Consider the following 17,362-nt stretch of genomic DNA (forward strand, 5'->3'; position numbering starts at 1 on the left):
GGAAATATTTCATGTCTGTCAACATAAAGCAACTTGGCACTATTAATCTATATCCACAAATACTTTCATGTCATATGACCACTTTTTTATTGGACACCACCTTCTGGAAAAATCTAAAATATGTAAAACACTAAATTCACAAAAGTGATTGTCCTAGAGTTATTTATAACAATAAGTTAGAAACATAACATCATTGAAAATTTGATTAAATCACTTTGGAGACATCCACTTGATGAGATGTTATACGGTCGTATAAAAGTGCACGGAAACAGGTCAGGCATGCTGGCTTGCATCTGCAGTCCCAGCTACTTGGGAGGTTGAGGCAGGAGGATGACTTGAGGCCAGGAGCTTGAGACCAGCCTAAGCACTATAGTAAGGTTCCCTCTCTTAAAAAAAAAAAAAAGCCGGGCACAGTAGCTCACCCCTCTAATCCCAGCACTTTGGGAGGCCAAGGTGGGCAGATCACTTGAGGTCAGGAGTTCGAGACTAGCCTGGCCAACATGGTGAAACCCCGTCTCTACTAAAAATACAAAAATTAGCTGAGCATGGTTGCAGGTGCCTGTAATCCCAGCTGCTTGGGAGGTTGATGCAGGAAAATTGCTTGAACCCAGGAGGTGGAGGTTGCAGTGAGCCAACTTATGCCACTGCACTCCAGCCTGGGTGACAGAGCCAGACTCCATCTCAAAAAAAAAAAAAAAAAAGTTCAGAAACTCCAAGGCTAAGTACTTTGGTATTATACATTACTAGCAAAAAACATGGTTTGAAAATTGAGGTGCAATATTATCACTATCTAACAATCTAACACAGATGCATAGAAAGATATTAGCAGAAAATACACTAATATTTTAAAAAGTGGAAAAATTCTGTTCTAATTTTTCTTTTTCCTTTCCTTCCTTCCTTCCTTCCTTCCTTCCTTCCTTCCTTCCTTCCTTCCTTCCTTCCTTCTTTCTTTCTTTCTTTTTTTTTTTTGACAGAGTCTCAGTCTGTTGCCCAGGTTGGAGTACAGTGGTATCTTGTACCACTTGGCTCATTATAACCTCTGCCTCCTGGGTTCAAGTGATTCTCTTGCCTCAGCATCCTGAGTAGCTGGGACTACAGGAGTGTGTTACCACACCTGGCTAATTTTTGTATTTTTAGTACAGACGGGATTTCACCATGTTGGCCATGCTCATCTTGAGCTCCTAACCTCAGGTGATCCACCCACCTCGGCCTCCCAAAGTGCCTGGATTATAGACATGAGCCACCGTGCCTGGCCTAAGAGTCCAGAAATGCCTAATTTTTCTTTAGTGCCTTTTAGTTGCCTCTTTTTTTATTAATATAAAAAATACCAGAAACACTGAGAAAATAAAAAGAAATAAAACCCTAGAAGTTACTAGGAAGAAAAAAAAAAAGTGAATGGCACGGAAGATGAGCAAGCAGATAGTGAAATGCCTGAAGTGGACATGGTGAGGGAGGGAGGAAACTATGATACTGGGTGAAGCACAGAGTGAATCTTGTGAAATGGTGATGTGAAAAGCAGCCTCCTTTAGTGATGTCCTATTCTTGCTCTATCACATTTTAGTGCTTCATGGGCCATAAGGAGGCTTGGAGGCAAGGAAGTTACCAGCATTGTTGGATACCACGTTTTGCCTGTCTGAAGGCCTCGTCCCTTACATGTCCGTATAGACATGTTTCTCTGTCTTTTGAGGTTGGGTGGATTAAGTAGGCCAGATGGTGTGTCAAAGGTGGCAACAAGGCTGTAGTAGCACTGGACACTCAGGAATGCCAGGAACACAGTCCCCCAGATTTAACAGTTTCTGAGAATAAAGCACAGTTCCTGGACAATGAAAGATTTCTTTGAAGCAAAATTTCTGGTAAGGAGATGGACATTCACAAAGATCAGAATTCATAGCACATTTCAATATCTGCAGACCTACAGATCTATGCAAGGCTCTCCCTGGGAATGGAAAGAACTCACTGACAGTTCCTTATTTTCGAGAACATGGGTGGCAGCAGGGGTGCCCTGGGTGCCTTGCAGAGCAGTGTGGCTCACTCTACACAGACACAAAGCCTCTGAGTTTCAGCTCCCACTTCCCTTGTAGGTAACCAGAACTTGCATCCTCACCTTTAGAGAGTCAGCAGCAATGGTGAACTCCTCAAGTGAGGAGAGAAAGGATAGCTCAAATCCAGAAGCCTGCTCTTTGGTGAAAAATGATGTCTTTGATGAGTGAGGCTGCAGATCTAACTTTACTTGAAACTGCCTAAAAAATATATATATACATTTTTTTTTGCTATTAAAAAAACCATAGAAAACCCAAGAGAGTCCTTTCAAACTTCAGAAATAGGATGTACAGAGGAGGAGGACTGTGAGAGAGAGTTCGAATATGAACAAAGCAGGGGGCAATTTTTATATGTTACTTAGGCATATAACCTTCTGCAGTGAATTTCTTTAGAGTTGATATTTCTTTTTTATTGTTTCCCACACTGCTTCAGATATTTTCAGACAGATTTTTTTGGTTTTGGTTTTTTAGCTACACTGAGCTCGTCCTTAATGTGGGAGCTGCCATCCCAGAATCTTTTCTCAATATATTTTGGATGAACTGCTGCTTGAGTTTCCCTGAGTGAGTGATTAAAGTGACTGTTCCTATTTGTTTTCTGCAAACACAACAAACTATAATTCGTTCTAAGGAGAGCTCAAAGGCAGGAAGCCATTTGTCTGCTGACAACCTTTTCTCAGAACAACCTGTGATGCCTCTTCTAGCTGGGGCTGGACATCCATCCTGGCTCCCAACTGGTGTCCTTGAGGTGGGGCCTATGGGGCTGGACTTAAAGCATAGTTCTCTTGATTAGAAGCTGCCGTCTGTCCTGCTGGGCCTCTGGAGTCTGCCTTTAGTAGTGCTGTGTCACAGGAATAGTCCCAGACTGAGACACAGAACCTGGAATTTAGCCAGTGACAAGCCGTGCTAGCTTTCAAAGGTCGCTGTGTGGGCCTCGGTGTCTTCCTTAGTTAAATGGGTGCACTGGATGCTATAATCTCTAGGTTTCACTCTGACACTAAGAATTTGTGATTTTTTCTTCTGATTCCTGGTCCAAGGGTTCCTTCTCTCCTGGAGATGGAGACACCATGACCACTCTCATGGATCTTTTCTTCTTGGAAGAAGGGGTGAATATAGAGAATGACAAAGAAAAAGTGAGATGACAGTGATCAGTGTTATGAAGAACATGGCTTGGGTAGGGCTGGTTCCTTGTATTGAGTGGTCAAGAATCAAGAAGGTGAATCTGCAGTCCCATCTGTTCAAGGTGCAGCAGAAAGAAGTGAAGCCAGGGATGGAGCGGGGAGCAAGGAGGAATGAGCGGCCACATCAGAGGGACCAGGCCTGCGAACTTGAGCAGGGTGAGGCATCCAGGGCTCCTGGTTCCTGGCACGGCATCCTCCTAGTCCTCTAACCAGGGAGTTTCCTGCTCTGCCCTTGATATGAATGAATGAAGGCAGTCACCGGCAGCATTGATTCTCTGTCAATAATTCTCCCCCTCCTCCCTCATCCCCAAGGCTCAGCTCAGACGCAATTTCTTTCTCTCTTTTTTTGCACAATGGCTTTACTGAAATATAATTCACCAACTATAAAAGTCATTCTTTTTTCAAAGGACAACTTTATGGTTGGTGAACCACAATTCAGTGGTTTTTAGTGTAGTCACAGAGTGATAGACAAAATTTCTTCTTTTTGTAGGTGGAAGAAGGAACAAATTATAAATTGTGTGATTTCAGATGTCTGGACTTTTCATTCTTTTATTTTAAAATATGTCTATTTACCATGTTTGCTTTGTTTTTTTTTTTCCTTCCTGCCTCTGTTACTGCTATTACTGTGTTCCATTTTTCCTTCTCATAATTTGCAAGCCATACATGCAACTTTGGTTCACTAATTGATTGCTCTTAAGTTTTCATCAAGAAGTTATATTCATTTTTATTTCTCTACACTTAAACAGTACCTTTAACCTCCTCCCCACCAAAAAATACTGAGATATTCACATACAATTTCTCTCTTTTATTTCCCTCACTGCCACCATGTGGAAACCAATGGGTGTTTTAATTTGGTATGAACATGAGCATTTTAGGTTTAAAATGTGTTTCACTGCATTTTGACTGTAGGAAGTGAGATCAAAGGACAGAGAGCGGGGAGGAGGGATCACATCCTGTAAGGCCTTTCAGACCATTTCCAAATCTTGATTTGATTCTGAGAAAGGTGAGAAGCCATTGGAGGATTGAGATAAGAAGAATGACATCTTCTAATTTACATTCTGAAAGATTACTCTGGTTGCTGAGTTGGGAATAGGGGAGTTAGGAGTAAAAAATGGGAGAATTCATGGGCTTGCTGTAATAATCCCATTAAGAGTTAATGTGGCTGAATCCCAGTTGTTGCAATTTAGGCAATGAAGAGTTGACCAACTCTATGTTTATTTTATGTAATTTTTCATAATTTTTAAATTTAGAAATAATTTTACACAAAACATTTACAATGTTAGAAGAATGATAAAGAGCTCCAATATAACCTTCACCCAGATTCCCCAATTGTAATCTTTTCCACATTGGTTTTTCTCTTTTTGTATATCCATATTGTAATTTTTTGGATTGATTTGATAATAAATAGAAAGCATGCTGCCTTTATCCTTATAGTATGTGGTGTATATTATATAAGAACAGGATATTCTCTTATACAACCACATACAATGGTCAAGATCAGGAAAATAACATTGATACAATTCTATTATTTAATCTGCAGACTGTGTTAATATTTGGCCAATTATACCAGTAATATCCTTTATAGAAAAAATCTGGCCCATGGACTCTATGTGGACTAATATGAGAGACAGGGGATAGGAGTTGCTGAAGGAGTGGAGGTGAATTATGGGAGAAAAAGAGGAATTAGGGATAATTGTAAGATTTTTCACGTATGCAAATAGAAAATGGAGTTCGTATTACTAGTTAAACTGCGAGGACTTTGCAAGGAAGAAGTTTTTGTGTATGTCTGGGGCACAGTTCAGCCTTGGATATACTAAGTTTGAGATGTTTATTATACATCGAAGTGGATATGCTAATTTGTTCTTTGTGATTTGAAATAACATCTTTATGTGTCTAAATCTGAGTCTTTTCTAGTAGTTTAGCTCAGTGCTGGGTGGGACCTTTCAACATAAACATTTTATCTTTTCTATGTGTAGAAAATGTCCTTTAATTATTTATCTGAGCATTTCATTCTCTTTTGCTGTCTCCAGATGATGTTGGAACTTCTATTAATAGTTTTGTTCTTGGGGTTTTTTAGCTTTTCTTTTAAATCTTCCATCTCTTGACCTTTTTTGCTTCTATCTGTGGGAGTATTCTCAACCTTCTTACAAGCTCATTGATTGTGTGGTTTGGTACATTTTAATTAAAATAACAACTCTGAGTCTTATTTCACACCATTCTCTTCTCTCTGAGGACATTTTAAAGTTACTTTTTTCCACTTTGCCCTCTTAGCAAACCAACCCATCTGTTAGTTCTTTTGTCTGGGAAATTTGGTATCCATCTAATGTGTCATTAGCTCTCCTAAAATATCCAGTGACTGTTCTTTGTCTTTTTACTGTTGAATGTGGATGAAGTTACCTGAAGCATGTACTTTTCTTTTCCAAGCCCAGACTCTTCAATTTTTGTTTAATTTGGGGGCAAGCTCTCCTAGGTGGGTGTCATCTTGCTCCAATCCTTATAATATTTAAACTTGAATAACCCTTTGCCAACTATCCAATCTGTTGCCAAAACAAGCTTTCAAAATTGAAATATTAAGATGTCATTTAGTATTCTAAAATTCCCTGCATCCCTCATAATTTTCAGAATAAAATTGAAAATCCTTAGAGTGGCAACATGCCGTAAATATGGGAATCCTCATGTACAGATTCTCACCCACGTTCTCCTAATATGTCAAATGTTCCAGGTACATCAAACTATTGGTAATTCCCCGAATGTGCATCCAAGCCTTTGCCCAGAATCTTCTCTTTCCCTGGAGTGCTTTATTTCCTCCTCTCTACATCTAGAACTTCAATGCACCCTTCAAGATCCAGTAACTGCTACATATCTGTACCCAAGCATCTTTTACTTTATTTTGATGCCTTCATCCTCAAGTACCTCTTAAATAATTACTGCTCTTTCTGAATTCTTGCAGCATTTTTCACGTACCCATAGGTGTTTCTGTAAATAATTGATGTGCCTCTTTCTCTCCTACCAAACAGGAGATTTAAAAGCGGTGATGTGTTTTATTCATTTCAGAATCTTTGCTACCTACTGTACAGTAGACAGTTAGAGTGATATCACTTGTTTAATAAATTAAGTGAGAAATCCCAAAGTAGGTTATACTTGTTTGTCTGTTTTAAAATGGTGCAGGGAGGGGTTCTGGTGACTAAGGTCTACACGCTAATGAGCATTTGGATTATTTAATGTTATTTTTCAGGGTTCTATAAATTGTGTAGGACTCTCATTTTGTAGGCTGGTCTCTGATGTTGGCTCTACCATAGGTTTCTTATAAAACAGCCACAGAAACCACTTCCATATCTCACTTTTGACATTGATGTAGTCCTCAGGCCATGGACAATGACCACTGAGACCCAAGCAAGGTTGTGGGCAAGGCTTTGGGAAGGGGGTTGATAAGATACAAGGGAATAGCCACCAGCCAGGCCTCAGGAAGACCTGAGGAGCTCTCTTGTGTGTGGGATGAGATCAGACCAGAATCACAAGAGAATCATGCAGGCAGGATGGGAGAATCCTGGTGCACCAGGATAGGGCAGAGGCTTGTTTAGAGCTACAAATACCAGCAAGGCCTGGCCTGGTATGTCAGGTCAGCTAATATGTCAGTTCCCACAGCTCCCATAGACAATGGGATGCCAGGGAAAGTTTTTAAAAAGAGAAGTGAAATCATTGATGATGCAATTTGGACTTCATTCTAGTTGTTTAGCTGTACATTTGGGTCCTAGAGAAACAAGAAGCAAGCTGGAGGTATGAAAGAGAACATTCCAAGAATGACAGGTAAGTCTGAGTCACAGCTCGAGGCTGAAGGAAGGGGGTTAGAGAGGAGGTGTCCCTTGAAATAGAAGCTGAGGCCAGCTTGCAAAGGGCTTACATGTCATGGTAGGAACTCAGAGTTTTTTCTTTTCTCTAACAGTAACCAAAGAAGGATTTTAAGCAGAGACATGACAGAGGGCAGGGGAAAATCAGAGTTTGAGGCCAGGCTTCATGATGACCTTCCAAGGTCAATCACAGAGGTAAAGAGGGGATCCTCATGTGGAACAAGGAGGTCCACAGCCAGCCAGAGAGGCAGCCCTGTCCCCTGAGAGAGCTGGCTCTGGGTTTGCAGTTTATTTCTGGGATCCTGATGTCAGTTGTTGGTCTAGATCCAAATGTGGCCATATCCAAAAAATGTTTAATCCAGTCAGGGCACTTTTTCACCATTATTTCACCCATTCAGTTAACAACTCATGACCACTATTTAAAAATTATATGCTAGTTTTGAAAGAAATTCAAAGTTAAAAACAAGTCCACAAATGACTAAAATAATTAAAACAGAGAATAAGACAACAAAGGTAGGACTGAAAGGCACCTGTAAAGCTTTTTGAGAAAGGAGCTGAGAATGTCCCGGGGGCCTGAAGGGCTTGAAAGAAAATGCAGTCTGTGTTTACACCTCAAAGATGTGCAAGACTGTGTGAGTGGGGGTAATATTTTGGGAAGAGAAAGCGCAATGAAGATATATAGGTGAAATATCTAAGTAGCATCAACAAATAACTGTTGTTAATGTTGTTTAAAAAACAATTCCCTGGCTTCTTGTATTTGGAATGGATTGTCTCCGTGGAAGCAGAAACTACCTCTCTCTTACCTTCTTTCAGGTTTTCCTGGGATCAGCTGCACTCCTTAGCAAAAGTATATTGGAGAATCAACTGAGAAAGTAACTGAGACATTTCAATCATTTCTAGGTGTAAAGAAAGACCAGATCCCAGGAAAATATTACGGTCAGTTCAATGCCTAAGTATAACACCAGCATCACTGGCTGGGACCCTCAGAACCTACTCTCCTATTTTCCCTTCATCTTCTTCTCTTCTTTCTTTTTCTTATTCCTTTTCTTTGTTTCCCCCCTTCTTTCTCTTCTCTCTTTTCCTCCCTCACTTTCTTGATCTCTCGCTCTCTTTCATGAATTCACTGAATCATTGCAGAAGTACTTGACACATACCATGTTCCAAATTCTGAGCTACGGCACATGCTATATTTTTCTACAAAATAAAGTGTGAGGTGGATCTCTAAATAATAATAACAAGTGTATCTCAAACAGTCTATCCTGGGCACCTTGTAAGCTTCAGTTGTTTTCTCTTCAAAGTGCCTGTGTCCCAAAGCTCAGGACAAATTTCAAAACCTGAACCTGAATATTAAGAAATCTAAACATATATCATCTAAAGCTGGCATCCAGGAAAACAGAGCTTTTCGTTTGATCAGAGACTGCATATTTCTTACCTGCAAGTGTTTGTTTTAACCACACTTGGCAGGTTCTGTATATAACACGCGTCAAAGCCATCAGTTGCACTTGTTTTTGTGACTGCAGGTGCTGGCTTGCTTGTTCCAGGGTCCCAGGGCCCGGCCATGGCCATGGTGTTTGTCTCTCAGGCTTGTCTGTCTCATACCTGGCAGGCTCACTGCTTCACAGCTCACTGTGTCTCTCAGACATTCTCTTGGCTTTCCCACAGTCTCAGGGACTGTTCTAAATAGCAAGCTAATATTCTGAAGTGAGGTATTGGAAGCATTTCTGAGAAGCATTTATTATTTTTGTATGTGCTCAATTTTTTAGCAATGAAGACATTTCCTTTCAAGGTTGTTAAGCTTTGAACTTTCCATTTTGTGAAAAGGCTCGAAATTTCCTTCATTCTTTGTGGGCATCCAACTCTAACAGACACATAAATTAATAGACTAGGAAATATTTAACGGTCTAAGTTCAAACAAATATGTTTACTTTGGCTGAATTGATGTTGCTATTAATTGCTATTGAAATAAACCACTGTACAAAGAAATATGCCCTGGAGGATAAATGTGACACTGCTAAAATTAAAACTCAAATGAGAATTATCTGCAGATTTTAATGTTTCAAATTCAATTTGGAGAATTCAGTTCTTTAATGTAATACTGATAAAATCATGTTATTGATCCTGCATACTCATCTCTTCTCAGGGATTAGAGACAGGCTGTTACGAGTATGTAGCAATCCCCCTTGTACCTGCATAGGTGGGGAGGTGATTGTCCAGCTCTGCTGGTCGGGCACTGGATGTAGTCATGGCTGCAAGCAAGTCATGCACGTGGAGAACGAGGTGTCTCTCTGAAAGAAATGTAGAGAGAAAATTTTAGGTCAACTAATTAAAAATTCCCATCAATCTCTAGAATAGCATCCCATATGCAAAGGAATACTCTGTCGCCCAGGCTGGAGTGCAATGGCAGGATCTCGGCTCACTGCAAGCTCCGCCTCCCGGGTTCACGCCATTCTCCTGCCTCAGCCTCCCGAGTAGCTGGGACTACAGGCGCCCGCCACAACGCCCGGCTAATTTTTCTTTTTTTTTGTATTTTTAGTAGAGACGGGGTTTCACCGAGTTAGCCAGGATGGTCTCAATCTCCTGACCTCGTGATCCGCCCGCCTCGGCCTCCCGAAGTGCGGGGATTACAGGCGCAAAGGAATACTTCTTATACAGATATATAATTTTTTTGTCCCATTAGGAAAAAATTGTGCCCCAATCGCTTTCTGTCCTTTCTTACTAAATGTGAATCTTGAAATGTTTATTGCTTCATGGTGTTCCTCCATTTGGCCCCATCCTAGTTCTTGCTTTGCTTTTAGATGCTGGGGAGCCATCTTGGGAGTAGGGTGCCCATTACATGAGATGAAGTGGTCTTCAAGGGGACAATAAGGGAGTAAGTGCCTTGTAGAAAGAAGCAAAGTAAAGAGGAAGAGAGGTTTCTTTGTTTGTTTTTTTTATTTTTATTTATTTATTTATTTTATTTTTTTATTATACTTTAAGTTCTAGGGTACATGTGCACAACGTGAAGGAAGAACTTTCTAACTTCTCCTTTTCTTTCTCTCTCTCTTTTTTTTTTTTTTTTTGAGATGGAGTCTCACTCTGTCACCCAGGCTGGAGTGCAGTGGCGTGATCTCGGCTCACTGCAACCTCTCTTTTTGTTATTAGGTTGTTGCAAAAGTAATTGCGGTTTTTGTCATTGCTTTGAATGGCAAAAACCGCAATTACTTTTGCAACAACCTATTACCTAGGCTAGAGTCAGAGCCCCCTCACCTTGAGAGTGATGAGTTGCGAGAGTCTGCCCCCAGCAGGCAGATTGAGAGAGTGCATGGTTTAGCAGAAGGATAATTTTAGCTGTAGTCCATGGGACAGAATGGAGATGTTGCAATTTGATGCAGATCATCTGAAAGTCTTGTGCAATGTCCTGATTAAGTGTGGACAGAGCACCATAAAAAAGGAATTTGGAAGTTGGAAACATGCTGAGTTCAGGCAGACATAAAAGGCAGCATCTGGAAAACCTATCAGGACTCAATTTCAGGACAAGTGATCATAGGTAGGTGGGATCATGGAACTTGACCTCAAGGTTACACTATAGGAACAATAAATAGGTTATGAAGATAATGAGCAGATAAACAGCACCACCAAGGAGTCTCAGTAATAGATATGTAACAAAGGAGCAGAGCAGGACTCTTTATAAGAGCTAGATGGTCGTAAGGAGAGGATTGGCACAGCAGTGGTTCATGCAGAATCTCCTGAGACGCAGATAAAACTTAGTTCTGATTGGGAGAAGGTTATTACAAAGCTTGAGGTGGAGATGTAGTCACAGGAAAGTAGCAAGAATATATGGGGGAGCTGAGACATGAAGAGGCATTTCCTAGAAGGGAAAATTAGGCTTTAAAGTCAGGCAGATGGGTTTGCCTGGGAAACAATCAAGAGCGCTGAGTCTGAGCCAGGGAGCTGGTGGGGAGTGAGCCAAAGTGTGTCAGGTAAGGCAGAGAACCAAAACCAGATATCAGGTGACAAGTCAAGAATGAGTAACATAGAGTACATGAATAGGTCTGGGCGGGGCTGAGAAGATATGGACTTGGCTCTATGTGCTTGGCTAGCTGAATGTTTTGCAGCTATATCTACAGGTGCTTTTATTATCATACAGCCTGGCAAGGAATGTTATTATAAACAGCTTGGGTCCTAGGTTTTGGGATGGGAAGAAGCCCCAGCTCCTGGGAATAACTGTGATGTCACCATAACACATGGTGACTTGTCCCAGCAAATGGAGCAGGGACGTGGATGAGGAAAACCACAGATAAGTATTACAGCCAGGCAGGGTGGCTCACGCTTGTAATCCCAGCACTTTGGGAGGCTGAGGCGGGTGGATCACCTGAGGTCAGGAGTTCAAGAAGAGCCTGGACAAAATGGTGAAACTCCGTCTCTACTATAATACAAAAAATAAGCCAGGTGTGGTGGCAGGCACCTGTAATCCCAGCTACTCCGGAGGCTGAGGCAGGAGAATCACTTGAAGCCGGGAGGCGGAGGTTGCGGTGAGCCGAGATCCCAGCACTGCACTCCAGCCTGGGTGACAGAGTGAAACTCCATCTCAAAAAAAAAAAAAAAAAGAAAAAAGAAAAGAAAAAAAAAGTATTGCTAGGATTAGCATCACTGTTAGTTACCATTCCAGTTATTGCCCACTTGCTAGACCCCTCAGAAAAACAGAAGTTTGCAGGAATTTTGCAGCCAAAAGGTGATGTTTAAAATATTCCTAGAAGATTTTTTCCACTTCATACGTTGGATATTTATCTCATAAATTAATCAATATTGGCCGAGTATCGTGCCCCATGCCTGTAATCCCAACATTTTGGGAGATCAAGGCAGGTGGATTTCTTGAGCCGAGGAGTTTGAGACCAGCCTGGGCAACATGGTGAAACCCTGTCTCCACAAAAAATACAAAAGTTAGGCCAGGCGTGGTGGTGCACACCTGTAGTCCTAGCTACTGGGAAGGCTGAGGTGGGAGGATCACTTGAGCACAGGAGATCAAGGCTGCAGTGAACCATGATGATGCCACTGCACTCCAGCCTGGGCAACAGAACAAGACTGTCCCAACTCATTAATTACTCAATTAATCAATATTAATTATTATGTTGTATATTGTTTTAATTTTGCATAAATTATCTAATTTGTCTCATAACGACTATATGAGGTAGGTAGGGCTTATCCACATTTTAGGTGAGAGAAATAAGCCTCAGAGAGGTTAAGTAGTTTGTTCACAGTAACACTGCAAACAGTAGTAGAAGCAAGAATTGAAGTAACGCATTGTTCTCTTAGCTACATGTTATGAATATTTAATTACTCTTCCACTTCATATTTAGAGACTATCTTCTATGTGTTGGCTATTGCTATGGATAAAAGAGTGGAAAATAATAAAAACATGCACAGTCCTTGTCCTTGTGGAGCTTAGGAGCTTACAATCTAGGGGAAAGAGGGAAGATACCAGCAACCAGCACCCATTAACCCAAGTGATTATTTAATCACCCTTGTAGAGGTGATTCTTTTATCTTCAGAAGAGGAGAAAAGAGAAGGTCAGATAGATCTCATGTAGTGTAGGAGTTCTCTGACTTATCTTCTGAAAGAGATCTTACCAAGTAGATCTTACCTAGTATGGGAGTCAGAGAAAACTTCCCTAAAGAACTGATAGTAGACTTAAGACCTGAAGGATTAGTAGATGGATGGGGAGGGGAGAGAAGAGGTGTTGGTGCTAAGGCAAGAAAGAGCTTGAGGCATTGAGTGAAGATAAGGTGTTATGGAGTGTGGCTGCTGCCAGCAGGGATTAGATGATGCACTTTAAAATGTACAAATAACAGTACTATAACATATTTACATTATAATTGAAATTTATAAAAGTTAGGGAACTAATCTTTGTATGTTGGGGAGGAAGTTACCTTTCTCTTGTTAATTCAATTAATTTCAAGACTGTAAGAATGTATTGCACTACTGAAACATTAAAAATTGCGTTAGCTTCTGCATCTTCATGGGATGGAAGGTTGATCAACTGATTAGAGCTCCCACCAGGAATAATCCAAGAAATCAAATAAAGTAAAATACAGAAGTTATTTGCTTGAAGACAGTGGAGCACAGCTGAGGCAATTAGTGAAGAGGTCATGACTCCCAAGGAGAGAAAAGCTCAAAGCAACTTCTTTCACAACAGTAGCTTTTCCAATTCAGAGCTGAGAATCCAAATTCTTCACCAATGCATGAAGACATTTTGATGAATTCTGGGACTTGGGGGGATGGGAGACTAATATCCTAAGCCTTAAAACAGCTGAAAAATATAGCAAAGATGTCAGCAGTTTTATAAGACCAGGATTTGAAGTCAGGCCAGATTCATCAGAAAAAGTGGTCAGAGATAAGACTATTGACTGTAGCTAAAATTACAAAGGGGGCTAAGGAGACCCAGAAGTACACTAAGCCTTACTAGAACTGCAAACAAGGCTTGACTCAAAATAATGTTAGTATAGTGGCAGAAAGGATGACCCCTCTCAAGGAAAAGAACATTACTTGGAACCACTACCTTTTTTAAGAAAAATATACAGAATTTATTAGTAAATTACTAGACATATCAAAGGAAAAGATTACATAATGGAAAACCAAGAGAAAAAAACAGATAATAGAAGTATATCTATAAATGTTCTTGACGAGCCTTTTGAAATAACTATGATTAAAGTATTTAAGAAATTAAAGGAAAAGGTGAAGAAAATGAAATAGATGAGAAAATTTCACAAAGTAGAATGTGTAAGACCGACACAGCCTAGAACTGAAAGTATTTCATATCTGGTATTAAGAATTCTAGTTGGTTTAGCAGCAGAATAGAAACAGCCAAAGATAAAAGCACTGAACAAGAATATATCCAGGCCGGGCATGATAGCTCACACCTGTAATCCCAGCACTTTGGGAGGCTGAGGCGGGTGGATCACTTGAGGTCAGGAGTTTGAGACCAGACGGACCAACATGGTGAAACCCGTCTCTACTAAAAATACAAACATTAGCCGGGTGTGGAGACCTGTAATCCCAGTTACTCGGGAGGCTGAGGCAGGATAATTGCTTGAACCTGGGAGGCAGAGGTTGCAGTGAGCCAAGATCGTGCCATTGCACTCCAGCCTGGGTGACAGAGCAAGACTCTTTAAAAAAAAAAGAATATATGCAAATGGAAAAAGGGAAGAAGAGATGGATGAAATGTATATAAAATTCAGAAAAAATTAGAGACAGAAGGAAAGCAGTTAAAATGTCTAACATAACTATAATTGAACTTTAAGAGGAGATAACAGATTGGGACAAAGCAATATTTGGCGGGGTAAAACTGATTATTTCCCAAAAGTGACAAAAGACATTAACCTATAAATTTAAGAACCCCAAACAGTATAAACAGAGGAAAAAAAAAAAAACACCCAGGCAAAAGTGCAAAAAAATCTTTCTTAAAAAGAAAGAAAGAAAGAAAAAAGACATGCAACCATAATAGAAGCAATGGCAATATTGACAACTGAAGTCTCAATGATGAAAGGCAAGAGACAATGTAATAACATCTTTAAAGTACTGAAAGGAAATGCCAACCTCGGCTTTTATGTCTTGCAAATATATCCTAAAAATAAAGATGAAATGAAAACATTTTCAGACACACACATACGAAAGCTGAGAGAATTTATCCCTAAGAAATTTGTACTGAAAGAAATTTAAAATGGAGTTCTTCAGCAGAAGGAAAGTTATACCCAATGGAAACACAGAAATTCAAGAAGACATAAAAATCAATGGATAAGAAAACTAAATGGACAAAAATAAATGACTAGGGATTGAATGTTAATGATACAATACAATAATATTGTGTGGGGTTTAATTAGATATGTAGAAATAAAAAGCATGAAAACTGAGAATAAGGGAGTGGGTAAATGGAATTAAAATGCTCTGAATTTATAACATTTTAAACAAGAGTCAAAATTTCTATTTACAACACACACATTTTAAATGTAATAATCATAAAGATTGCAAGAAAAAGGGAAAAGATATAAAGTACACACACTAAAGAAAAGAAGCTTGAGTGTGTCAAAAGTTGATCTTGAGGAAGAATCATTATTTGAAATAAAGAGGAAATTTCATAATGAATATATCACTTTTATTATAATTCCTGTGTTTATAATGTCTTTCTTAAAACCCATGTAGCTGGATCCTGTTTCTTTGATACAGTATAACAACCTTTATTTTTTAATTGGACTGTTTACTCTATTTACATTTAATGTAAAATGTGATTGAAATTATGTGTAATATATCATGTTAGTATTTGAAATCCAGGATTCTATTACAGCAGTCCCAGAGGAACCAGATAAACATACTACTGTCTTGTCAAATGGTCTAATCCAAGGTTATACAACTTGCGGCCCATGGGCCACATACAGTCCAGGATGGCTTTGAATGTAGCCCAACACAAATTTGTAAACTGTCTTAAAACATTGTGAGATTTATTTTTAACTTTTTTTTTTTAGCTCATTAGTTATTGTTAGTGTATTTTCTATATGGCCCAAGAAAATTCTTCTTCTTCCCCAGTGTGGCCCAGGGAAGCCAAAAGATTAGACACCTCTGGTCTAATCTGTCTGCACATTGACATCCCTCATTTGGTTCACTTTTACCTCCAAGTTTTGCAATAGTGCAACAGACTAGCAGAAACTAAGGCACATACAAGCACTCTAGATGCAAAAAGTCTGTACAGAAAAGCAGTCCAGAAAGGGTTCGGGTGGATATTGCGTGAACTAACCTATGGGATTGACTATAAGCCTAGTAAAGGGAATGGGAAAGTAAGATATCCAAAAAGAGAGAAAAGCACCTTTCAAGATATGTTGGCATACAGCCATGTGAGTAGAACCAAATTTCTTCATGGCCTCCTTTCCTTCTTGTATTACAGTTTAGAAACTTGGACTTAGGAGATTCACAATGCTTCTCCATAATATATAATAATGAGTTTTCGGGAGTGTATGTGTGCTTTGGACACTTTGGTCAAATGACTTATCCTGCTAGGACTCAGTTTTGTCATCTAAAATTCAGTATAATAATACATTACACAATTAACTGTTGTAAGGGTTAAATTAAATAAGACAAAGTACAGGCAAGGATGTAGTGTAGTCCTGAAACATCGAAGATGTGTTTCTCATATCTGGCAACGATCATGGCAGTTTATAATAAGAAAGAGGACTTGGGACAAGTGATGTGCTACTTACTTTACTTTCATCAATTAGGAGTCAATCCTACTAGGCCAATAGCCAAAGGAAATGGTGAGCAGAACCTATAGTGGCACATTCATTCTTGACTCACATGTGAACACAATATAATTTCATGTCTCCTTGATAAAACTACTTTTCTACAAGGAAAAATAAAAGGCAAGTAGAGAGATTTCAGCCTACGGATGAAATACACAGTGTAACATGAGACAGCTGTTGCAGAGCCAACAAAAAAATCATGTTCAGTTAAGTGAGTCACAATTCCTTAAAATTTTTTTCCATGCCCACAAATGCAAAAGGCTTTGTGAGGTTGGGTTATTATTATCTTTTTTTTTTTAAGTTTCATTGAGGTATAAGTTATATGCAATAAAAATAACCAATTTTAAGTGTACAATTCAATGAGCTTTGATGAATAACTACAATGGTAACCAACATGATATAAAACAGAAACTAATCCTTTCCCCCACAACCCAGATCTTGAGCTATCTGATTTGCTTTTTGTCACATTAGTTTTGCTTCTTCTAGAAAAAGATATCATACAATATATAATCTTGGTGGCTGGTACCTTTTATTTAGTAATGTTTCTCAACTTTTTGTGTTTGTTATGGTCCCTCTAATGAGTATTTTTCCCTAATTGTCTCTCCCCACTTAATGAAATTTTGATACCACAGATATATCTATATGTCTATGTACTGTGTATACACCTGTGCTTTATACAGAGTAAGATTTTTTTCACACCTCAAAATGTTTTGCCCCTCACAAGGTGCTATCACCCCATTGAGAATACATGATTTAGTGTAATGTGTTTGAGATTCATCAGTATTGTGTGTATCAGAAGTTGGTTCATTTTATTGCTGGGTAATATTCCATTATACAAAGAGACATTCAATAAATGAATAAGAATAATTGCATATGTGTTGCAAAGGTCAGGGAGTGAGTTCTTTCTCAAATCTTAGTCTCCCTGGTGTCAGTAGACATACCTCTAATAACACAATTGTTCAAGTCAGAAATCTGAGAGTATCAAGACACTTCTTTTTTCCTCATTTCCCCATGTCAAATCCATTAAAGCCTGC

General features: G+C 39.4%; 1 protein-coding gene across 15 annotated transcripts in view, besides 1 other annotated feature; it reads left to right on the top strand.

Moving 5' to 3' along the window:
* GPR141 (G protein-coupled receptor 141) overlaps positions 1-17,362 on the top strand; it is a 60,070-nt gene that overhangs the window by 38,272 nt on the left and 4,436 nt on the right. For 3 of the 15 annotated variants that reach the window (NM_181791.3, NM_001329993.2, XM_011515386.3), the window contains one exon: positions 7,879-8,001. The exons of 9 other annotated variants lie outside the window; for them this stretch is intronic. Coding sequence is in view for 2 of the 6 variants with exons in the window: in XM_011515374.4 (XP_011513676.1) it covers positions 7,966-8,001 (36 nt within the window). In the remaining 4 variants the exon portion in view is untranslated. Of the gene's footprint in view, positions 1-1,216; positions 7,025-7,878; positions 8,002-17,362 lie in introns of those variants that run through there. 3 more of the 15 variants (XM_011515374.4, XM_047420330.1, XM_011515385.3) reach the window with 2 other exon arrangements.
* Positions 7,000-7,109: a silencer, noted in NCBI's record as "silent region_18106". NCBI's record gives its function as "represses an Ori minimal core promoter by ATAC-STARR-seq in GM12878 lymphoblastoid cells {active_cell/tissue: GM12878}" and the evidence as "EXISTENCE:reporter gene assay evidence [ECO:0000049][PMID:35858748]".

The sequence above is a fragment of the Homo sapiens genome, chromosome 7 (assembly GCF_000001405.40).
Source record: "Homo sapiens chromosome 7, GRCh38.p14 Primary Assembly".
NCBI classification, from domain to species: Eukaryota; Metazoa; Chordata; class Mammalia; order Primates; family Hominidae; genus Homo; species Homo sapiens.